General features: G+C 46.5%; 1 protein-coding gene and 2 long non-coding RNA genes across 15 annotated transcripts in view; 2 read left to right on the plus strand and 1 right to left on the minus strand.

The window, feature by feature from the left end:
• LOC124903077 (uncharacterized) overlaps nucleotides 1-205 on the minus strand; it is a 49,492-nt gene extending 49,287 nt beyond the window's left edge. Inside the window, exon 1 of the long non-coding RNA XR_007063583.1 lies at nucleotides 80-205. This is a non-coding gene — a long non-coding RNA (uncharacterized LOC124903077). The remainder of the gene's footprint in view (nucleotides 1-79) is intronic.
• Nucleotides 1-10,289, plus strand: part of WSCD2 (WSC domain containing 2) — a 121,250-nt gene extending 110,961 nt beyond the window's left edge. For 12 of the 13 annotated variants that reach the window (XM_017020244.2, XM_017020243.2, XM_017020248.2 and 9 more), the window contains 2 exons: nucleotides 96-296; nucleotides 7,743-10,289. In XM_017020244.2, the coding sequence (XP_016875733.1) occupies nucleotides 96-296; nucleotides 7,743-8,095 (554 nt within the window). In that variant the 3' untranslated portion in view covers nucleotides 8,096-10,289. Of the gene's footprint in view, nucleotides 1-95; nucleotides 297-4,055; nucleotides 4,334-7,742 lie in introns of those variants that run through there. The other variant, XM_047429914.1, reaches the window with a different exon arrangement.
• Nucleotides 10,290-13,649: 3,360 nt separating this feature from the next.
• On the plus strand, nucleotides 13,650-23,956 carry LOC124903078 (uncharacterized). The gene is made up of 2 exons (XR_007063585.1): nucleotides 13,650-17,699; nucleotides 19,404-23,956. It is a non-coding gene; the product is annotated as an uncharacterized LOC124903078 (long non-coding RNA).
• The last annotated feature ends 276 nt before the right edge of the window (nucleotides 23,957-24,232 follow it).

Below are 24,232 nucleotides of genomic sequence, written 5' to 3' on the forward strand. Positions count from 1 at the left end.
GCATGAGGATTCCCGAGGTGGCCCAGAAGAGAGTGGGGTGGGCTTCTTGCTTCCCCAGCTCACCAGTCCTGTTCCTCACCTCTGGCTGCGGGAAGGGTTTAAAGGTGAGCGGGACCACTGGCGCAGCGGACGGACCATCTGCATCAAGACGCACGAAAGCGGCCAGAAAGAGATCGAGGCCTTCGACGCCGCCATCCTGCTCATCCGCAACCCCTACAAAGCCCTCATGGCTGAGTTCAACCGCAAGTACGGCGGCCACATAGGCTTTGCTGCGCATGCCCACTGGAAGGGCAAAGGTACAGCTCGGGAGAGGAGGGGAGGGGAGGGGAGGGGCTTCGGGCTGCAGGGGGCGGTGGGAGGGTCCCGTGCTCCGGACCAGCGTGACCAGCAGGAGGCAATGCCTCATGCGAGGAACCCTGGAGGACATCCTGGAGGGCGCGTGTCATGCTCCAGTCCTTGCTTCCAGTAGAGTAGGTGCCTCCCACAACCCCCCACCTCCCACAAGCAGCACCTTCTGTGAGCCGGGCTGCTGCATCGCACAGGGGATTAAAATCATGGGCTTGGGAGAAAGACTCTTTGGGTTCAGATCTCAGCTCTACCACCTCCCATAAGGGCTCATTAACCTCCCTGAACTTACATGGCCCCATCTATAAAGTGAAGATTATAAAACTGTGAGGCTTTAAGAATTTTACAAACACTCAGTAGGTGTGACTTTCATGGCACTGGAGATGCTCATGAAATCGATGTGGGATTGATGGAAGCAGGTTAAAGAGCCCCACCCTGGGAGTCGAGAGACCTGAATCCAGCCCCAGGTCAGTGCCTGTGTTGCCACAAGGTCCTGAGAGCACAGGTACAGGGCATCATTTCAATGAACACTCCCAGGAACTCTGGGTGGCGAGGCTCAGAGAGGTTAAGTGACTTGCCCTGCATCACACAGCTGGGAAATGACAGCATTGAGCCCCAAGCATGGAACGTACTAAGATGACCTGGGTTTGAGATTCAGCTCTGGCACTTACTAGGTGACAGAGGGCTGTGTGGATCAACATTTCAATGCAGAGCAGCCACCCAGGGCAGTGGCCAGAGCTTTGAAGTCAGACCCAACTTCTGCCATCTTGAGTATTCTTAACCGTTCTCAGCCTCAAAGTCCCATATCCATTATAGGATGATCTCCACCACCATAATGAAAGTCACATCTACTGAGGGCTTCGGAAAAGGCTAACTTCTTAAATCCCCACCATAATCGCCCCATTTGATAGATGGGATAACCTAGGTCCAGGGAGGTTAAGGAGCTTTTCCAGGGTAAGGGGGATATAGGGGGTTGTTGTTCAATGAGTATAAAGTTACAGTTATACAAGATGAGTAAATTCCACAGTCCTGCTGTACAACATAGTGCCTCTAATTAACAAGAAGGTATTCTTTACTTAAGGTTTTGGTGAGAGGATAGATCTCATGTTAAGTGTTTTTTACTACACACAAAAACGAACAAAGAAAACAGACTAAAGGAAACTTCCAGAAGTGATGGAAATGTTTATTACCTGGATTATGGTGATGGTAACATGAGTGTATCCATATAACCAAAGTCACTAAATTGTAGATATTATGTGCAGTATTTTGTATATTAATTAGATCTTAATAAAGCTGGGGTTGGGAGAAGTTTTTCCATAAAGTGGTAGAGCTGGGATTTGAACTCAGGGAATCTTGCTCCAGAGCCCACGCTCTTCAGCACTGCGCTGTGATAATGGATTAGATGAACCATTGGTGGCTATGAATCACCCAGTCCAGAGCCCCCGACACATAGCAGGCGCTCTGCAAATGTGAGTTGTCCCCAGCTCATCCAGCCTCCAGGAACCAGGCTGCTCCAGTACTCCAGCCCCTCCCCAGAGAGGAACAGAGCAGGGCAGGATGACGTAACTCAGCAATTCACCCATAACACCCTCAACACTGACTTCGTTGATTAAAACCCTTGGGCCTGCCCCTCAGGTCCCAATTCACTCAAGGCGGTTTTTCTGTTCCTCCCTCTGCCTCACTCCTCTTCTCAGTGAGGGGGTGGAAGCTTGGATAGGTGGTGACATTTGTCCAGTTATTCCCAGGGGTAGAGAGGCCTCTGAATTATTTATTGGTAGAACAGTCAATCAAAAGCAAAACTGGTCACCAGGCTGAGATATCCATATGTGCAAATGGTAGTAGCCTGTCCTAAGAGCACAGACTCTGCTTGTCAAAGCTGGAAAAGACCTGGGAGATCAGTGACCTCGGTGGGCCTCTGTGCTGGCTGCTCCTTACGGTCCCTAGAGGAGAGTGGGAAAACCCCAGTGCCCAGGCTGCACCCTGGACTATTACTGGGTGGAGCCTGGACATCAGTATATTTTTTTTCAACTTTTATTTTAAGTTCTGAGTTACGTTTGCAGGATGTGCAGTTTAGTTACATAGGTAAACGTGTGCCGTGGTGGTTTGCTGCACAGATCAACCCATCCCCTAGATATTAAGCCCAGCATGCATTAGCTATTCTTCCTGATGCTCTCCCTCCCCAACACCGACAGGCCCCACTCTTTTTCCTTATTCAAAACAGCTGGGAGCTCTAAACCAATACTAAGGAAAGAGTCAGAACAGGCTGAACGGAGAGGCTGCAGGGAGTATGGGATAAGGGGATCCACCACACTCATCTCATATTGGGGGCCTGGGGTCCCATATGAGTCTGAGATGGGAGAAGGGATCTTCTCCAAGTGCCCCCTCCAAGGCCTGACCCAGGCATGCAAGGGCTCTGGTAGAGAGACTTCCTTAAAGAACAGAACCCCCAGTCTCCACTCAGCCCATTCTTCCCCTTTGCATTCACCATCTGGCCCCTGGAGACACTTGAGTTTGAGACCCTTGCTTTAAGGTCCTGAATCAGTGGCATCAGCATCCCTTGGGAGCTTGTTGGAAATGCTAAAACCCACTGAATCAGAAATTCTGGGAGTGGGGCTCCAGAAATCTGTGTGTGTGGTTTTTTGTTTTTGTTTTGTTTTGTTTTGAGACAAAGTCTCACTCTGTTGCCCAGGCTGGAGTGCAGTGGTGTGATCTCGGCTCACTGCAACCTCTGCTTCCCGGGTTCACGCTGTTCTCCTGCCTCAGCCTCCCAAGTAGCTGGGACTACAGGTGCCCAGCACCACACCTGGCTAATTTTTTGTATTTTTAGTAGAGACAGGGTTTCACCGTGTTAGCCAGGATGGTCTCAATCTGACCTCGTGATCCACCTGCCTCTGCCTCCCGAAGTGCTGGGATTACAGGCGTGAGCCACCGCGCCCAGCCACAATCTGTGTTTTAACAAAACCCTCCAGGTGATACCGATGAGCACCCTAGTTTAAGAACCATTGCTATAAGTCCCTGCTACTCAAAATGTGGCCTGTGGACCAGCAACATGGACATCACCTGGGAGATTTTTAGGCAAGCAAATGTCAGGCCCTATCCCAGGCTTCCTGGATCAGAATCTGCACTTTAACAAGATTTCCCCAGATACTTCATGTGCACTTTAAGGTTTGAGAAGTGCTGCTTTTGGATGCCCTCGGTGACAGAATGTGAAGATCACCCTGTAAGAGCCAAGGTCACCTAGCTATTGAGTGTGTCCACCCCACCATGCCCTTGTCACCCTCCCAATTACAGCTCAGTCCAGACTCCTAGAACCACCACCCCCACTCTGCTTTTGGTTCCATAGAGTTAATTTTACAATCTCCCTAGAGTGAGTTCACAGCAAAATTTTATGTGATATGATTATACAAGGTGAATTGTCCTGGATCTGTTTAATGAAACAGATACTGTGTTTAATCATTCCATGGGGAATTAAGTACAGTTAAACTATTAATCAGGCCCCAGTTCTTTCCATCAACAAGAAGATGGAGGGGAGGCTGGCCAGCCTGTGCCCCGCCAGGCACACCTGTATGACAGTTCCGGTGGAACCAGAACTCATTACCAATGTTCCATGGCTTTATTGCCCAGTTTGCAGACAGCAATCAATGATCAGGAATCCTGAGTTAAACGAGGGCTTTGGTTTTTAATTTTTCTTCTTCTTCTTTCCAATGAAGTAATTTGAGAGTTTCAAGAGAGGAAGCATTGCCATAGGAGGGGGCCAGGTGGACAAACATCTGCTGCTGAAACAGCTTGGATATCTATTGTGCTTTTGGAGGGATGTTTGGACTAAAATGATGGAGCATGTGGAGAGTCAGGAGATACAGGAGGACAAATAGCATCGTGGACAATCATAACACTAACCAGTATTTATTGAGCACCTTGCTTGTCCCAGGAGCCGTACCAGGATCTTTGCAAATCTTATTTCGCTCGATTTGCACAGCATCTGTAGGAGGTAGGTCTTATCCAGATCACCACTTTGCAGATGGGTGCACTGAGGCTGAAGATCGAGTAATGTCTCCAAAGTCACATACCTCATGTGGGGAGGAGCTGGGTCCTGAACCCCAGCAGTCTGACTGCAGAATCATCTATAAACAGACCCCAGGTCTCAGACAACAGCCTGAAGGTAAAGTGAGCAGTAGGCAGCCTAGAAGTCATGCTTCCCTGGTCCTGGAGTGAAAAGAGGGCAGGAGCTGATCAGACCAGGTGCTCTATTTTTTCTTTTTAAAAATTTATTTATTTTTATATATTTAGGATGTACAAGTGCAGGTTTCTTAATATATATAAGTAAATATATAAAATCAATATTTTATATATGCATGCACAAACATGTATATGTACCACATTTTCTTTATCCAGTCCTCCACTGAGGTTGATTCCATATCTTTGCTATTATGAATAGTGCTGCACTAAACATGTGTGCAGGTGTGTTTTTATGTAACAATTTCTTTCTCTTTGGGTAGATACCCAGTAGTGGGATTGCTGAATTGAATGGTACTTCTATTTTTAGTTCTTGAGAAATCTCCACACTGTTTTCCATTGGGCTCAGTCTGGGATAGGTGTGGGTTGGAACTCTGCCTTCAATGCCCGTTGTGTAGACTTGGGCAAGTTGCTCCTGCTTCTGAGACTCCTTTTCCCTGTGTCTAAAATGGAGCCAGTATTAAGAATTCCTACTCTCTAGGCTACTTGAGAGCACAGAATGAGATCATGCATGCAGAGTGCCCCACATAGCTCCCAACGCCCAAGAAATGCTCAGGCAACATACATTCCCTTCCTGCCCCTCAGACAGAGGCACCTGGTGTCCCACAGAAGTTTGCAGTCAACAAGGACACTCTGTCATCTCCATCCCACCTGCATCTAAGACTGGGATACCTGGAGCTACCTGAGAGACTCCTTCCTTTTTCTTGAGCCATCCTGCAGCCCTCTTTCAGCAACCACTTGAGATAGTGAGAGGTGGCCAAGCCTAGAAGTTTGGATCTGTGTTGTTGCTGGGTGCTGGGTGACAAGCACCGTCTCTATCACCTGGGCATCTCCCCTGAGAGTAGCAGCTGTTCTGAATCACCAGTGATGCTGTGAGGTGATGCAGGAGTGGGGAAATTCTGAAAAAGGAAAACAGAGCATACAACATGCTCAATTTTTCCTAATTACTCAGATACATCTGGTCTTAACCCATTATAACAGTACGGGCCCAATTAGCCAGATACATTATAAATAATCTATTTTAAGGATAAAAAATATCCTTGTCAGCAGCATAAATATCTCCCAAACAGCTGTGATGTTCCAGGGGACTTGGTGGGGAAGGAGTCTTGCCACAGATTCTGATGTGTTCTGCAAAGAAAGGGAGGCCTTCGCCACACTGCAATTTGGCAGTTGCAAATTTCAATTTAGTTCAACAACCGTTCACTGAGCACCTGCTGAGTACAGGCAGTGGGAGGAAGTGGTGATGAGGCTGCTGGTGCCTGGGAAAGATCCATCCTGGAACCAGGCAGGCCTGATCTGGACGGTCCTTCCTGGCTGTGTGGCCATGAACAAGTCACTTCACCTCTCTGAGCCTCAGTTTCCTCCCTGGTGAGGAGCAGACAGTAGTCCTTTTCCTTTCAGGGTAGTCAGCAGGATTAAATAAGATAATGGGTATCCATCACCCAGCAAGGGACTAGGACTTAATTTTTAAGAAGCAGCTGGGCTCCCCAGTGCAGCCTGGGGGACTCACCACCCTCGTTCAATAAACAGAGTTCTTCTGTTGCCTGCTCTGGCAGGCACCGGGTAGTGTTTGTCCTTGTGAGAAGCAGCAGGTCTCAGTTCATGGTTTTGGAGCTCCTGCCCTCTGATTCTCCAGCTGGGGCTCAGAATTGAGGCTGTGATTCCTCTTCTCTGTTCCCAACGCCATCCAGGTTCCCCTTCTGCACTTTCCCCAGCTCCTCCTTCTGCGGGAGTTTCAGCAGCTCCAGGAACTGACTGCCTCTCCCCATGGAATCCCCAGGTTCTCTATAACCTGTCTTTCAAGTCAGACAGTCCCAAATTCACCCTCCAAGTTTGCATGACAATCCATCCTGTCATTTCACCATGACACTTCCATGAAAAATGAAGAAAGGTAGGAAAGAAATGTGTGAAGATGATGATAAAAATAGTCCCACTTAAACCCTGCCCTCAGATAGCTTACCGTCTGCTGGGGAGACAGACTACAGAAGTGGGGGGTTTCTGCACAGCATAATGAGTGCTGTGGGGGGCTGCAGGGGACGGAGAGAGGAATTGTGAAACCCAGAGGAGGCACCCGCCTGAGCCCAGGGAGTCTAAGAAGATGACCTGAAAACAGAATAATATCAGTAATAACGATAGCCAACATTGATTGAGCACCTGCTGAACTCAACGTGCCATGCTAGAAACTTTGTTATATGTTTTTTCTACTTTGTACAAGAGCTCCATTATTATCCTGTGAGGAGATACCACTACTACACAGAAAAACTTAGTACTTAAAAGCCCAGACTTTGAAGCCAGACTGCTTAGGTTCAAATCCTGGCTCTGCCAGTTATTAGCTATATGACCTTGAGCAAATTACTTAACCTCTCTGTGCCTCGGTTTTCTCTTCTGTTAAATGGAGATAATGGTGATACCTCTTAAGGTTGTTGTGAAGATTAAGTAGAATTAAAAGCTATATTAATATATTTATTAATATATAAGTATGTAATCTAAAATACACAATATATATTAACATAAATAATATATAACATAATAATATGTTGTATATTATATTACAGTAACACATACTTATACATGGGGTTTGCCTGGCATATAGTAATCACCAAACAAGTAACATTGTTATCCCCAAAGAGAAGGTGGTGGTCAAGAATATTCCAGGGAGAAACAGCATTGAGGTGAGAAGTATCGGGGTGTGTTTAGAGCTCTAAAAGGAGTGAATTGAGCTAAGTTGTTATTCTTTTTGTTTTTTAGAGGCAGGGTCTTGCTCTGTCACCCAGGCTGAAGTGCAGTGGCATCATCATAGCTCACTGCAGCCTCGACCTCCTGGGCTCAAACAATCCTCCCACCTCAGCCTCCTGAGTAACAAGGACTGCAAGCATGCACCTCCATGCCCAGCTATTTTATTTTATTTTTTGTAGAGACAGGGTCTTGCTATGTTGCCCAGGCTGGTCTTTAACTCCTGGCCTCAAGCTGTCCTCCAGCCTTGGCCTCCCAAAGTGCTGGGATTATAGGTGTGAGCCACCTCACCTGGCCTGTATTATTACAGTTAATTGTTAATTGTGTTACCGTGTTGTGCTGTGAATAATGGTAACCACTGCCAGCACCATCTGACTGGGTCTTTCAAACTCCTCCTCCCTCTGACTGTGTCCTTTCTCCTCTCTCTGCAGAGTGGCCAGAGTTCGTGAGGAACTATGCCCCGTGGTGGGCCACTCACACACTGGACTGGCTCAAGTTTGGCAAGAAGGTGCTGGTGGTGCACTTTGAGGACCTGAAGCAGGACCTCTTTGTCCAGCTGGGCCGGATGGTCAGCCTGCTGGGCGTGGCTGTCAGGGAGGACCGGCTGCTCTGTGTGGAGAGCCAGAAGGATGGCAACTTCAAGCGCTCAGGGCTCCGGAAGCTCGAGTATGACCCCTATACTGCGGACATGCAGAAGACCATCTCTGCCTACATCAAGATGGTGGATGCAGCCCTCAAAGGGCGGAACCTAACGGGTGTCCCCGATGACTACTACCCAAGATGATGCGTCCACACAGGGGGAGGGTAGACTGGGAGTCCTGACCACGCAGGCCCTGGGGACTCAAGACCCCTGGTTACCCCCACTCATCTGTCCTCTCTTTGGTCTGGGGACAATCCCCTTGGCTGCTCTTTGCCTTCAATGAGTTTCCTGCATGACAGAGGAGGCTCAAGGGAAGAGATTGCCCAGGCACTACCACTCTGCTCACATGTTCCCCCCTTGGCAATGTGGGGCATCTTGTTTAGGGGGTTCTAGTTACATGGACTCTTTTCTGTCTCCTGGGTCCCTGCCCCCACCACTCTGGGTTCCATTTGTGGGAGGGAGGGCTCATCCACATCATGGAGACTTGCTGGATGCCCCATGGCAATTGTCAAGGCTCTTGATGCAAGAGCCCAGGGGGCTATTGTAAAAACTTGGCCCCAGATGCTTGTCCCTTCTGGGCTGAGATTTCGCAGCCCCCTTCTCATCTCCACCCAAGAAGTGCTGGCACCGATGTTTAACTCAGGCCACCTTCTGTTCTAAAGAAAGATTGCTGGGAAGTTTCTCCGTGGCCTTAGGTTTCTGACATCCTGGATAGTGTGGGGAGGTAATGGTGCTCACAGTAGGTTAATTGGAGACACCATGTGGGGCCATTGGTGTTATGAGCCCCCCAGGCCACACTGCTTCTCAGAAATGAGCTGCTTGCCTTTCCACCTCCAGGGCATGAACCCTGCCCCTTTCTATCCATGCTGTGTCCAGGAGGTGACCTTGAGATCCTGATACCACCTTCAAGGAACCTCAGGCACCAACAGTGAGCCCACGAGGATGGTCACATGCCATGTGCAGAATTTGACTTAAGAGAGAGCCCCAGTGACACATCTCTCCATGGTGGGCTCCAGTCAGTCTTACACTGCCCTTCTGACCCCTACAAATGGGTCCTTTGCTATCCAGGTGAGACAGCAAGAGTGTTCTTAATCAGATGGAACCACACCCAAAATGGACCCCCACTACCTTCCCAGACCATATATCTCCCCTTGATCATAGTCCAACAGGGCCAGCTTCCCTTGGGGGCCCTTTAAGGAATGGGGTGAATGAAATTGTGTCATTTCTATACAAACACTGCTCTCTTGATGCTGAAATGCCAAACCGAAGGATTTCTGAGGACCTAAATCACGGAGCATCAATCTTACAAAGTGTTGGTCCAGAGTCCCATCTCTTCCCCAACCCTGGATACCAGTAGCTTCCCACCCAGTCCAAACCTGCACCATCCATCATTATGTAGATGAAAAAGCCATAGGTCATAGCCTCTTTGCTATTCTATTGGAGTAGCCTCCCTAGGCAGTCCCTCTGAAGCCTTGGAGTGCAGGTAAATGCTCATTCCCAAGTAGCAAAGAGACCATGGAGAAGGTGCGTGTAAAGAGATATATTTTTGTAAGAGGAATATGATTAATACATTCCGCCCCTTGGAACCTGGCCATGCAAAGCAAGGGCACAGGGATTAGACCTGTGGCACACTTCCCCAATTCCCTCATCTGTAGGATTTGGGCTGCCCCAGGCCCACCCAGGGGGCTCTGAATGTATTTTGTACCGTGTTTCTTTCCCCCAGGAGAATTTTTAGTCTTCTTTCATGAAGCAGTGGAGGGGTTGGCCTCCCTTCTACTGGGAGGTTGACTCTCTCTGGGAGACTCTTGGTCCAAGACCTGGGTCAGTTCTTTGCTGGTGGTCCCCTCTGACCACAAGCTTCTGCCTGAAGATTCCTCAGGTCAACACCATCATTAAATGCGAGTTTTGTTGATGATTCTACCATGTGGTAGAGTGTTGTGTAAGACAGGTTCACAAATGGGATGTTTTCCTAGTGTGTGTGTGTGTGTGTGTGTGTGTGTATGAGAGAGAGAGAGAGAGACAACAGAGACAGAGAGAGGCAGAGAGGCATAGAGAGACAGAGAGAGAGACAAGAAACAGAGATAGACAGAAAATGTTCGGGGTGGCAGGCGGGTTGGTGTATAACTGCTTTGTGCCTGTGTGACTCTGGCATAGCTGCTCAGGGAGAATTACGTGCCTCTGTGTGTAAAATTGCCTTTGTGTTCTCCTGCCTTTCTATGTTTTGAAACTGTATCCCACAAGTTGCCGGTATGACCATCTTATTTGTAATGAGTCTGTGCAGGTCCTTGTGTATGGAATTGCACCCGTGTAAAGGAGGAAATGGTCAGTGTGCATGAAATCCATGTGTGAGAAGCTGCCTGTCTATTTTGGAGGGGGGGCACATCTTCTGCATATACCTTTTGTCCTTGGCTGCTGTGACAGGGAGGGTATGTGGGGAGAAGTGGTGGGTGGGATGAGGTCACTAGAGTGTGGTGGAAGTGTTCCTACCTGAGTATGTGCACAGGTATGGAAGAGGTTATCTATGAGAGGCATCCCTTCTGTGTATGTTTGTAAGAGAGAGAGTGTGTGTATGTAAGCAAGAGAGAGAGAGACAGAGAGAGAGAGAGAGAGCAACAGAGACACAGAGACAGACCCTGAGCATCATGCTTTGCACAGCCATATGCAGCAGGGAAGTCAGTGAGAGTCCAGGAGGACAGAGAAGTCTGCTCTGTTCCCTGGTGGGTGGGGATGAGTGTTTCTAAACCTCCACATACCGCTGAAGGAAGACCCTGTGTTCTTCCTCCTCATGCATCAGAGGGGCTTCTGTGAGGCGGTGCTGATGTCCAGGGGCTGTTTCCCAGCCAAAGGGAGAGGCAAAGTGTTATATACTGCCACATGGACAGCAAGCGGGGTAGGAGCTGGGCCAGGCAGAGGAAAGAGAGAGGGGCTTCTCCTCCCCCAAGCACGGAGAGCTCAGGAGGACTGAGAGTGCTGGGGTGACTGTGGTGGGGAGGGGAGAGGAAGATCTCAGAAAGGGTGTGAGTTTGTTCCAGAATCCAGAAGAACAGGGCCTTTCTCTACGGGTTCATCTTGGCTCACAAAAGTCATTCTGTGATGACTGATTGAGCTCTGATCTGGGGCCCAGGCTACACTCTGTCCCCAGTATTAAACCAAGTCTGACCTGGTCACAGACTGAGCCCAATCCTAGAGCCTTGAACCTGAGTCAAAGTTAAGCCCTGATCCTGATCACAGACTGAGCCCTAATCCTGTGCACATACTGATCCACAACCCCTCATTCCAGCCCCACATTGACTGAATCACATTGGACTGAGTCCCAAACTACTTCTACTGAGCCTTCACCCTAGTCATTGACTACACTCCAACCTGGGTCACAGACTGAGCCCTGACCTGCCCCAGAACTAATGCTGATAGTGTCTCCTGACTGAGCCCTAATCTCTGTCACGGACTGAGCTCTGATTCTGGTCACAGGGGGAGCCCCAGTCCTGGCCCTGCAGAAGTCATGATCTTGGTCACTCCAAGCCCTGAGCCTGGTCCTGCCCCTGATCTCAGATCAAGCCTTGACTTAGGTCACAGGCTGAGCCCTGAACCAATGTGCCAGTTTTCTTTCACTTTTCTAAATATTATCCATGCGACCAAATCCTCCCAACTGGAAGTGCAGGAAGCCATGCAGCTTCTAGCCCCAAGCTCTCACGGGTCCTTCTTAGAACTCTCAGATTATGTGCCTTATGCAACTCCCTGCTTTCCACCTGCCCCCAACCACAGATCACTGTCGGGTGGGAGGGGGTGGCGCGAAAGCCCTTTAGGCCATAGGTGGGGCTGGACAGTTTACCAGCCTCTTCTTCGGCTAATTTCTGCCCTTCCTATCACACTTCATCAGCCATCTGGAATAAGATCTTTGTATTTCAGACCCAGAAAGAACCAAGGTAGCATTCATTCATTCATTCATTCAGCACATATTTACTGAGCATCTACCATGTGCCAGGCAATGCTCTCAATTCTAGGAACTAAAAAAGTAATAAGACAGACACAAATCTATGCTCCAGCAATGTACGTTTTACCAGTACTAAGCAGGTATCTCAAAGTGATCAGAAAGCTTTCACGGAGAAGACTGTGAGTCAAAGAAGGAAAAGGACTCGAGTGGCTCCTGACAAACCCCATGAGGTTGTTACAACAGAGATCATTAACTCCATTTTAGAGGGGGGCATCATTGCTAAGAGGCAGGCAGTGGCTGGCCCAAGCCACACAGAAACTAATAGTGTTACCCACACAACCGGTGGGTTCAATTGTTTGGCGGGTGACTACAACCAAGGAGGATTTAACAGGGGGATTTTATTATTTGTCACGAGTAAGTAGGACACTAGAGATGGTTCCCAAAGCAGTGCTTCCCTGAACAACAGTGAACACAGGGCTCGTATTGAGCTGGTGAGCTGAGCCATTGTATGCAGAGGTGGGGTCAAAGCCGCAAATGTGCAGTCAAGGATCATCCTTCCACATATGTCGCATGCATAGAAAATGGCCAATAAGTTCTTCCCTGGGATTGGGCAGGGTGTGGGGTTAGTATGGTAATGAGGAGAGTTCGCCAAAGTTCATCTCCAACTCAGGCATCTGTGGATCCAACTGGGTTTTGATTTTCCAGGGCTGAGCTTCTTCCTGGAACTTTTTCGAAACAGCAAAAACTCAACGTGCAACAGTCACAAGTGGATACTTGTTCACAGTGCATTCCCCAAAACCCAGAAAGCCTAGGTTGCCATAGCAGAGCTGGGGCCACTGCTGTCTCCTCCAAGGGCCTAAAAGTCCTTTCCACATACAGAGAGTGACAAGGCCCTTGCACCCAAAGAAGAAGGAAAGCTTTGGATCCAAGCATTCCCCGATGTAGGGTCCATGCCTGGCCTGGAAACCAGGGCACCTGGACTCTCCTCCTGCTGCTGCCTGGGGCTCACTGTGGCTCCAGGACTCAGGAGAAAGACCAGGGCTCAGAATCTGCTGATTTGGGGGATTTCTTCTGGATTCTCCTACAACCCCAGAAGAGGCTGCACACACATCCCAGTGGAAAACGTGGGAGTGGGCAGAGGGGGAGGCAAAAAGGATGCTGGGAGCAGATCCTCAGGGACCCAGCCTCCTCCGGAGGCCCAGCACCCTTCCTTCCCCTTTCTCTCCTTCATTGTTTTGTCACCTCATCCCTCCCCCTTTTCTCTCTCTGTTTTTCTTTACCCAGCCTCCTGTTCTCAATTCCCCTCTTTGTGGTCTCTGATTTCCTCCAGCTGCTCATTAAATCTCTTTTCTTTCCTGTCTTTCTGCCCCTCCTTCTCTTCTCTCTTCTCCTCTTCCTTCCCCCCCTTTCTCTCTCTCCCTTTCTCTCTTCCTTGATTTTTGTTTCTGCCTGTGCAAAATCTCTCCATCTCTACCTTTTGATCTCTGAGCTCTCTGCCTCTCTCTACCCCTCCCTTCCCCCACCCCTGTTGTCCTCTCCCATCTCCTCATCCTCTTCCTGAAGAGTGGGGGCGACTCAGCAGGATCCAGACATAGTGAGACAAATGCTACCCAGGCTGGTAACCAAGGAAGTGGTTTCCTTAGCAACAGAATCTGCAGGCACGCGCTCCACTGCCCCAGCCCTTAGCTATTACAGTAAGAGAGAAAGAGAGAGAGAGAGAGAGAGAGAGAGGATGGGGGGGCGGGGGGGGGGGACAAGCCTTAAAACAGTAAAGAAACTGCTATGTGCTCCTCATGAGAGGGGACAGTGCTCAGAGACCAGATCAGTGCCTGGCACTTTGGGGGCACTCAAAAATATGAGAAGTGTGGGGCTTTGGGGTCAGAGAGAGGCACAGAGTGTGGAGAGAGCTGGGGAAGAATCTGCAGGACACGGTGACACACTGGATGTGGGGATGGGGAGATGACAAGACAAAGAGGACCCCAAGGTTCTGGCCTGAGCAGCTCCAGGGAGGGAGCAGAGGAGCCAGGGAGAAAGGGAGAAAAGAGGTTGAGTTGGCATGGCTCCCTGTCCCCGAGAGTTCACCACCTAAGCTGGGGGTGCGGGGAGGGAAGGTATAGGGATGACAGAAATATCTCATTCAATTCTCTCTTATAAATAGGCAACGAGGAACATGGGAGAGGGAACATGTATAGTTTTAAATTGCTGAACTCTGAGCAGTTAAATGATTTGCTCAAGAGACACAAAAGTTGGTGGCAGCACTTGGATTTGAACCTGGGGACGATCCAAGGCCTGTCCAGAGGGTGGAGGGGACAGAAGAGGGCAGAAGATGCAGAGAGAGAGAGAGAGAAAGAGACAGAGGCAGAGAAAGGACAGAGAGAGAGAAAGGACAGGGAGAAAGAAGCAGAGAAAGAGAGATTTACATCATTGATCTTGCATTTCTTCCCACTGGGAAAACAAAAATATGTTCACTTTTAGAGCAATGAGAGGAGACAAAGGCGCCCCACTGTATGATAGCTTTGGTGGTTATAAATAACTGTCCCCAAAGAAAACACCTGTCAAGACACATTCACTTCCAGAGAGACGAATTGTATCCCCAGTCCATGTTGATATTTAAATGACTCAGAGTAGATGTCAGGGGGCGGAGGGCAGAAAGTTGATCAATGTAACACAGAAACCTAGCTCAGCTTTCCCAAAAAGCAATAAAACGGGTAGGTGCGGAGAGCTGTAAATCTGGATGATAATAATATCCGTCCTCGCAAAAGCTACATGTTTGTTTATCATGTTTGCAGGTTTACTATTGCCCCTCGAATTTACAGTCAGCAATCTGCCGGTGAACACAGGGAGGAACACGAGAATGAGAACAAACTGGCAGAGCACTGAGGAGGAAGAAATGATAAAATATTTATCCCCTCACCCCACCCGCTCTGCCCCGGTTGCCTTAAATCCAATTTCAAACAAAGGTGGTGATTTATCCAAGCAGGGCTGGGCAGCTCTATTTCAGGCCTCTGACAGCTAATTGAAATGAGCAGTCATTACGGAATGGAATGTGTTGCAGCAAAATGATTTTTGTGTATTCTGGAGTCATTTGCTGAACAATTATGGAGAAATGAACAGTCAGCCAGGGGTGAGACAGAGGGTATAGCACTTGATGGCGACAAGACTTTTGCGTGTCCTTTCAAAGTGGGAGACAAGAGGGAGGAAGGGAAATTCCTTTCTGAGACATAAGTTAGGTACCTAAACTGTTACCGTAATTACCTGGGCTTCCAGAACTTGGAATGCCTAGTTATTATCCCAGACCTCCTGAATCAGATTTTCTAAAATATGGGGACAGGAAGTCCTTTTGTGTTTCCCAAAGCTTCCCAAGTACAGGCAACCCTGCAATAAGAGATGGTGCACCAGGAGGGTGGGTTACAATGATCCTGTAGACTTGCTGTGAGGCAAAGGTGTGTTTACAATGGACCTCTTGATAACTACTGGCCCCAATGTAGGCACTGCTATGACAACAGAGCACAAAGCATTGTTGATATTATCCGTGCATCCATGGCTCTTCATGCATTTTGATCTATGTATTCCTATAGTTAGCATAGTACCTGGCACATAGTAAGTGCTATGGAGATGTCTATTGATTTTCTGAATAAGTGAATCAAGGAATATTAAAGGATATTGAAATAAAAGCCACAAGCCACTTGCCAGACCAGGCCTGACCTAGTCCTTTAGCTGCCCTGAATATTACCTCTAGTAATATAGAATTGTTTTTTATTGTCCCAACCCCATCTTGGACCCCCAAAGCCAATGGTGTGGTGCAGTCCACCAGCCCAGCCCTCAACAGCCAACATATCTCTTCCCAAACTCACATTCAGTGGCATCCCATGGGTAGTTTAAAATTGGCCATGGTAGGAATATACACCATGGAAATTGGCAAATGCTACAAATCAGGTTTTTCTTTTCATTTCTTCCTTCCTTCCTTTCTTCCTTCCTTCTTTCTCTTCTCTCTTCTCCTTCTCCTTCTCCTCCTTCTGCTTCTCCTTCTTCTTCTTTTTTGGAGGTTTAAACAGTTAAGTATTTACCAGCACACCACTGCCCAAAGCACACAGGCACGTACCATGCTATTTCTTTTCTTTTCCATGTCTTCATTCATACTGTCTCCTCCACTTGAAAGCCTTTATGTGACTGATGCCTTGGCCTCCTTATAACTTCTCTCAGCCTCCTCCTCTTCCAGGCAGCTTCCCCTGACTACAGAGACCAGATTTGATTCCTCCTCTAACCTCCCTAATCACAGCTCTGGACATAGCCATTTAGTTTAGTAATCTAGTGTGTGTGTGTGTGTGTGTGTGTGTGTGTGTGTGTGTGTGTGTCTTACAAGGATATGAGCTTCATTATGATGAAACAAAATCTTCATTTCTGGATTCCCATTGTGCCTCCTGGCACAGACTATATGATGTGCAAATGTTCAGCTGATGAAAGAATGAATACATTAATTATATTTAACACCATCTACCAATCTGTTGGCCTCATAAATCTTTGAGTCAGTGGGTAGAAGGATCTGGCCTGCCCAGAGATTGGCCAAGGAGAAAGGGAAACAAGAAACTACAGTGATGATAGTAGCTAATATTTATTGAATAATAACTCTGTGCTGAGCACTATGATGGGAGCTTCACATATGTAACATCATTGAAGTATCCCTGGGGGGCAGGGATTCTTATTGCCCCTATTTTTCAGTCGGGGAAACCAAGGCTCAAAAAGGTGAAGTTATTTTCCCAAGGTCACACAGCTTGGAAATAATGGACTTTGAACCCAGGGAGTCTAGTTTCAGAGTCCATATATTTAACCACTATACTGCATCCTGGCGGGGGCCATGTGTGTCCAGAGTCAAGAAGACAGGGTGAGTCTTGCAAGGCAGCAGTGAGGGTTCTGGTAGCAAAGTGCTAGCCTTTCTGGGGCTGAGGACCCGTGGGGTGAGGTGAGATGAAGATCAGGCCACCACAAGGGAAGCAGGCTGGGAGCTGGTGGTACAGACGCCTTTGGGTTCTTAGCTGCACAGTTGGTTTATAGGTTCCCATGGCAACTGCCAAGCAATAATCTCTTATTCCACAGCTCAGTGGTTCCCTAGAAATTCTTTCCTCCTCGCTTCCACCACCACAGCCCCCAGCCCATGGAGGCAGGGTGGCAGTTTCTTCTCCAGGAATGACTTACACTGGAGAAGAAACCATAGCCCAAGACCCTTTTGTTACAACAATGGAGGAGGGAAATTTGAGAGGAGGCAGAAAAAAAAGAGAAAAGGGACTTAAAATCTCAAAAGTCATATCATCCAACTGGGAAGGGGCTGGGAGAGGAAGAGGAATTCTCAGACCCCCTTAAAAATCTAATGAAAACCATGAGTTGTTTCTCCAGAAAAATGAGTGCAAGCACATATACACATGCACGCACGCAAAGTTTTATGTATAGTTTTAAGGAACATTTGGACCCCTTGGGACCGAAATTAGGAAATTAAAAATCAACGAATCCAGTGGTTTCCAAATTAGGGCAGTGGAACCCTATCTTTAATCAAAACCAAGTGCAAAATCCTAATCTCTAATGGTGGTTCTCAAGCAGAAATGATTTTTCACCCCAGGGGATATTCAGCAATGTCTGGAGAAATTTTTGGTTTTCATAACCAGGGGAAGGGGGAGTTGCTGACGTCATCTAATGGGTAGAGGGCAATGATGCTGCTCAATGTACTCCAATGCACAGAACAACCCACCACAATGAAGTGTGATCTGACACAAAATGTCAACAGTGTCGACTTTGACAAGCGCTGGTGTAATATAATAAATAAAGGTGAGGAGTGGGGGATGGAACACCTCCAGTGTCAGACAAACCTGATTTACATTTAGACTCAGCTGTGTGACCTAGGACCAACTGTCAAATGTCAGAGAGCCTTAGTTCTGTCATCTCTAAAATGGAGGTCATCATGGAGTTTAACTTATGGGAGTGTTGTGTTAGTCACCGTGCTATATACACAGGGGAAAAAAAAAGGCGACAGTATTATTATCTTTATTATCATCGCTATTATTGTTAGTGTTGTCATGGAAGATTTTACAAATTAGGAAATCAGCTTGTAATAGCTCAGAGAAGTGTCTGCCATTGGCTAACTTGAGGGGTCAAGGACATGATTAAGCCATGAAGTGCTTTGTCAGCTGAAAACCTGGCACAACAGTGTGGTCATGAGGCTTTTTTCCTCTGTGTAGTTTATAAACTAGCCCTACAGGGTATGAACTTCTCTCAGTAATGTCAAGTGGGGAAACCTGTCATAGGGACTACCTTGAAGAAGCCAGAAAAACCCATGTGGACATGTCCAGTGTGGTGGATTCGTGCAAAACCTCACCTTATAATTGTACAGATATATTTCCCACTTTCACCTATTCAAACTTCAATATTCATCCATGGAAAAAATCTTGATTCAAGAAATCTAAGTATGTTGCCTGTCTTTGCTTGGGGTCCTTTGAAAGCAGAGCCTGTGGCAAGGATTTGTGTATAGGTTGTTTAATTGAGAGATGGCCCTAGGGAGCAGGAGAAGTGAGACAAGAAAGACAAAGACCAATGTGTACTGCATTATCAAGTCATGACTTTGGGTCGTGAGGGTGTGATTCCACTAGGATCTCCTAAGAAGTATATAGAGTGCCTCCCAGGATCAACTGCCAGAAGGAGTTGGGAGTATATGTTCATCAACTCTCCACTTTTACTAGTTGAGGGTTGTCCCTGGGGCTAATAACTCCCCTTGCATGAGCCCAAGCAAGATACAACCAAAGTTCATGACACTAGAGAAGCCAAGGGCCAAAAGTAGGGTGTGTGGCATTTGCTTGAGGTGAGAAACAAAAGAGGGAGTGAATGGGAAGCCTTGCAAAATTGATCTATGCCAGCCACAACTGAAATTGGAAGTGGGCTGACAGGTGCAATTTAGAGCACCAGGTGAAATATTACAGCACATAGTACTATGGACACAAAGTTTCTGAGGTTCTTGCTGGGTTTAAGTCTCACCTCCACCAAATATGAAACTCCCTGAGTCTCAATTTTCTCTTCTGTAAAGTAGAAGTAATGGTACCTATCTCACAGAGCTATTGGGAGAATGGAATAAGCTTGTGTTTATGAAGCACCTGAAATACAGTAGGTGGTCAGTAAGCAAGAGCTACCACCCTTATGCCTGAGGAGCAGGCCTGGTCTCAAAGCAGTTTTTATTGGGTATGGAATCTACTCCACTTTCATTAACCTGTTTGACATGATTTATGTCAGACACAGAGTAAATTCCCAGAAATGAAATTTGGTGACTCTGGGGAACCCTGAGGCCAAAGGTCAAAGGAAGGACAGATTGGCAAGAGATAAAGGGAGAAACAAATCACCGGTAGGCTCTCTGGTGTATCTTCCACTAGAAGACCACATCAGAGTCATCCCCAAGTCCTTATTAGTAGCTAATATCCAGAGTAGGTTTCACCTGACATTGTCTCGATAGAACAGAAATAACTTTTTCTTACTTTCCAACTAAAGAAACTACCAGACCATCAGTAGAGGATCTCAAATTCACATGGCAAGAGGAGACAGATGTGTACCACAAGTGAGTTAAGTGTGAAGTAATTTCACATACTGAACACAAAAGAATACTTCTCATTTCCACAAAGAAATATATTCTACCCCTGTAATTTTCATGAAACATGGGGTTCTCATAGCCTTTTTTCAATTCTCACTTTTGATAAAGACATATAGAGAAATGTACTTCTCTACTACAAGAAAAATATGCCGGCACAGTACTAAATGGCAGCTAACTCTATATCAAAGAACCAATAGGGAGTGGTGGGAACAGGATATCATCTGTTTCAGTGACATCACAGAAAAGTATAGAGTAGGGAATTAAAAGAATTAGTCTCTCCACTAAAACAACCATAAGGTGGTAAAGACTGAAAGAATAAACGTTTTGGAACTTGGGAATTTAATCCAAAACTTACAACAACCAAGGGAACGCTTAATGAAGAAAAGAGAAGCTGAATTTCACTATTTAAGGAAATCTTTGTTGGGTCACTGTCTAACCACTGAGATGGTGGAACAGAGACTTCACTGACCACACATGACAAGGAATACAGACTTTGCGAAAATAATTTGGAAAAGTTACTAAACAAATGAACAGTTGCAGCCTCCAACAATCAACAACAGTAAATCCTGGGAGCAGGGAAAACATGATATCCAGAGTTACCACTATATAATACTCAACACAACCAGCTTTCACAAGGCATGCAAAAGAATGGGAAAGTATGACTTAGTCAAAGGGAAAAATAAATAAATTAACAGAAATCATCCCTGAGAAAGCCCAGACGTTGGAGTAACTTGACAATAACCTTAAATAAATGGTTCCAAATATATCTGAGCAATTAAAGGAAACCATGAACAAATAACTAAAGTAAATCAGGAAAATGATGTATGAATAAAATGAGAATATCAGAAACAATATTGAAACTATAAAAAGAAACCAAATAGAAATTCTAGACCTGTAAGGTAAAATAACTGAAATCAAAACTCACTAAAGGGGTTCAGTAGCTGATTTGAGCAGGCAGAAACAAAGAATCAGTGAGCCAGAAGATGGAAAAATTAGAATGATCTGGTCTGAGGAACAGAAAGGAAAAAGAATAAAGAAAAGTGAACAGAGCCTAAGGAACATAGGACACTATCAAGAATAACAACATATGCATATAGGAGTTCCTGAGGAAGGAGAGAAAGATAAAGGGATATAAAGAATAGTTGAAAAAATAACAGTTCAACACTTCACAAATTTGAATAAATACATGAATCTATACATCCAAAAGCTCAATAAACTCTTAGTAGAATAAACTCAAGGACATTCACTTTGAGATATATTATAATCAAATGGCCAAAAAACAAAAACAAAGAGAACCTTGCAAACAGTAAAAGAGAAGTGATTTGTCCCATACAAGGAATCCTCAATAAGATTAACAGCCAATTTCTCAACAGAAATCATGAAAGCCAGAGGGCAGTGAGACATTAAAAGCCCTGAGAGAAAAATAAAACTGCCAACAAAGAATTCTATATCCTGCAAAACTATCCTTCAAAAATAAAGGAGAAATGGAGACATTCCTAGATAAACAAAAGCTGAGGGAGTTCCTTGCTAGTAGATCTGCCCTACAACAAATGCTAAAGGGATACATTCAGGCTGAAATGAAAAAACAGTAGACAGTAACACAAGGCCATGAAGGATTAATGAACTCTGATAAAGGTAAATACATAAGTAAATATAAAATCCAGTATTGTTGTGTTTTTATATAATTTGTGACCCTACAACACAAAGGTGAGGAAGGGAGATGGTAGAGCTGTATAGGAGAATTTACATCCCATGAAGGAGATGGCTACAACTTAGCTTTAGTCAATTATTCCTACATAAGCTACAGTTTCCAGAGCTTCCAATTTTTTCAAGAAACTTTTAGGTAAAATCTCTTACCTTTTTATCATTTAAAACACAATGTTGGTCAAACAGAACATATTTATAGATTACATGTGGCCCCATGATCAGCTGGCTTGTGAACATTATACTGGAGAAGCCCGAAACCGATGGTATTTTACTCTCTATGATCTATACATAGCTTCAATCTTCCTTCTGCCTCTTATTAAGTTTATGAGGCCAGAAATCTGCAGTTGACAATAAGTGGTTGCCCTGGGGAGGATAGTGCCTGGTCTCTCAGGAAGAAAGGCAGGGCTTTGAAGAGGGAGGATAAAGGTTTCTGCCCCAGAGGTAGAACCCTCCGGATCACTCTGAACAGGGCTTTCTTGATCTGTAATCTAGAAGACAGGTCCTCAGTATATGGTGGTACAGATTGTGCACTGCAAACTCTGGTTGGTGTGGGACTGCTGGGAGGTAGTGTATGGCCTGGGGTCTAATTCCCTTCCCCCAAGCAGGTGAGTATGTAAATTAGTCCCAGAGCTAGAGAACCAAAGCCAGAAGGGAGCTTGCAAACCACTGGCTTCAAACCCTTTATTTATCACAGTGAGATTGGGACACTGATAATGGGAAGAACTTGCTTGAAGCAAAACCAGTGGCTATGATGAGTAAAGAATTGCTGACATTAAACAAAAATTGAACCAGTTCAGGCACTCTGCTAAACACTTTACATAGACGAACTCAATTAACCTTCACAATTCTATGGCATTTTGCACATGGGGAAATTGAAACTCATGGAGGTGAAGTCACTTGCCCAAAAGTCACACAGAGGAATAGAGATTCACGCCCAGGCTGTCAGCATCAGAACCTGTGCCCTTTATTTGTTTATGGATGTGTAGTCTGCACAAGAACAGCTCATCCCTGTTCCACTGGGCATTGGCTGGCAACGAGAATCTTCTGACTGCTCATCTCTCATATGTCAAGGGGTTGGAACACCTGGGCATCTCTCTCTATCCCCATGTGGTCTCTCCAGCATGGCGGCTTCATGGAAGCATTTCTTATTGGTGGTCAGGGATCCCAAGGCATGTGTCCTGAGAGAGGGGGCAGGCAAGTGTATTGATTTTATAGATCTAGCCTCAGAAGCCACAGAGCATAATTTCCTCATAGTCACAAGCCCACCCAGATTCGAAGGGAGGGGACATAGACTCTATCTTTGATGGGGAAGGCAACATTCCACTGTAAAAACAGTACATGGGATGTGAGATCATGGTGTAGCATCTTTGAATAGTATTAGCTGTCATGTTGGGTGAGGAAAAGTAGAGAAACTTTGGGGAGAACTGACTCACCGCAACTGGGGCACAGTTCTGGGATCGCCCTTGGTTTGACTCACTATTTGCTTCAAGGTACCTCAAAAGGGTATGCATGGAGATCAGAAGTAGAGAATTGCGAGTTGTAGAAAATTTCTGGAAGGGGCTGGATGACGTCTGTATGCCCCTCTGAATCCACTCCCCTGCCTCTCCTCCTTACCTTCTTCTCAGGAGGTTGACCTGTGTGGGCTGTGTCAGAAGAGAGCTGGCAGGAGATTGGGGACGGGAGCAGAGGGAGGTAGGAAATTTATTCTTCTGGCCTCCTCCCTGCAGGGCAGCTGTAGGCTGGCTCTGCCTTGGATCACACCCTTACTTTTGCTTCTTTGCACATTCTCTCCTTCCAAGTTCCAGGAGCTGCCCCTTTCCTTCCTCCTTTTGAGTCTGGAAGTGGAAACAGTTTCCTAGGTCACCACACTCTCCTGAGGGTCCCCCACACTCTGATGACAATTTCATAAACATCCATCCATAATAAAATCTTCCTTGGATTATCCTAATCTCCTCCTGGGATTCTGACTGAAACATACAGAGACTGACATCTAGTTGCCTCTCTAATATCATTCATTCATTGATTCATTTATTCATCCATCATTCATTTATTTGCATGTTCACTCACCCCTTGGCAATTATTTGGCTCACACAGTCACTCCACACTGCACCCTCCCTCCACTTATCCAACACACCCCACAAAAGCATCCAGTCCCCTGCCTCCAGATCCAGGCTGCTCCATGAGGACTGAACCATAGTGTGACTTTTCCAGCAACTCTTTCTTCAGCCAAAATCTATGTATTCCCCTCTCTAATCATGGAACTGGATTTTGTTCAGAAATACTATACCAACAAAGCCCTGCCTTCTCCAGGTCTCAGTCCTCCCCACTGTAACCCCAAGGTGGTGGGCTGAGTGATCCCCTAAGGATTCAGTGCATCCTTGAAATGGGAAGTCTAGGGGTGTATGCAGGACTTGGAATCGCATGAACCAACTCACTGAGAGAAACGAGGTCCAAGAGGGGAAGAGCCTTGCCCAAGGGCACATAATATTTCACACCTACATTCCCTGTTGTCAAAACTCTGATTTAGAGGGGGCGGCAGGATTGTGTGCCTTCTCTCTGCATGTCAATGGGCTGAGTGAACCAAGGCCACAGGGCCCCAAGCTGAGACTGGCAGGAGCCTGACCTAGGAAAAACCGCACCCAATTCCTTGCCTTTGTCGGCTTTCCTGGAAAGCCGACCATCCACCCTTCCCTCACCTCCCAGTTCTGTGCAAAGTGTTTAATTAATAAACATACCTTTAAAGCAAGCTGGTGTTACAGAGAGAGATGGTTAAGTGCTAATTATTGTTATCATAGGCCGCTTTCCACCTCATTAAATACATGGATTTGGTAATTGTTAGCTAATTCTAAAGAGAAACCAGGGGCCCCTCAAATGTTAGGATTATGTCTTTCCCCAACAATTGACCTAATTCTCAAGCCACAGGATGGCAGTCTGGTTGGTCTCAGGGCCTGAATGGGGTCCTGTGGAAAGCAGATGGGCTCCAAGCTCACCTTCCTGGGTTCAAGTCTTGACTCTGCCACTT

Source organism: Homo sapiens, chromosome 12 (assembly GCF_000001405.40).
Source record: "Homo sapiens chromosome 12, GRCh38.p14 Primary Assembly".
Classification (NCBI taxonomy): domain Eukaryota; kingdom Metazoa; phylum Chordata; class Mammalia; order Primates; family Hominidae; genus Homo; species Homo sapiens.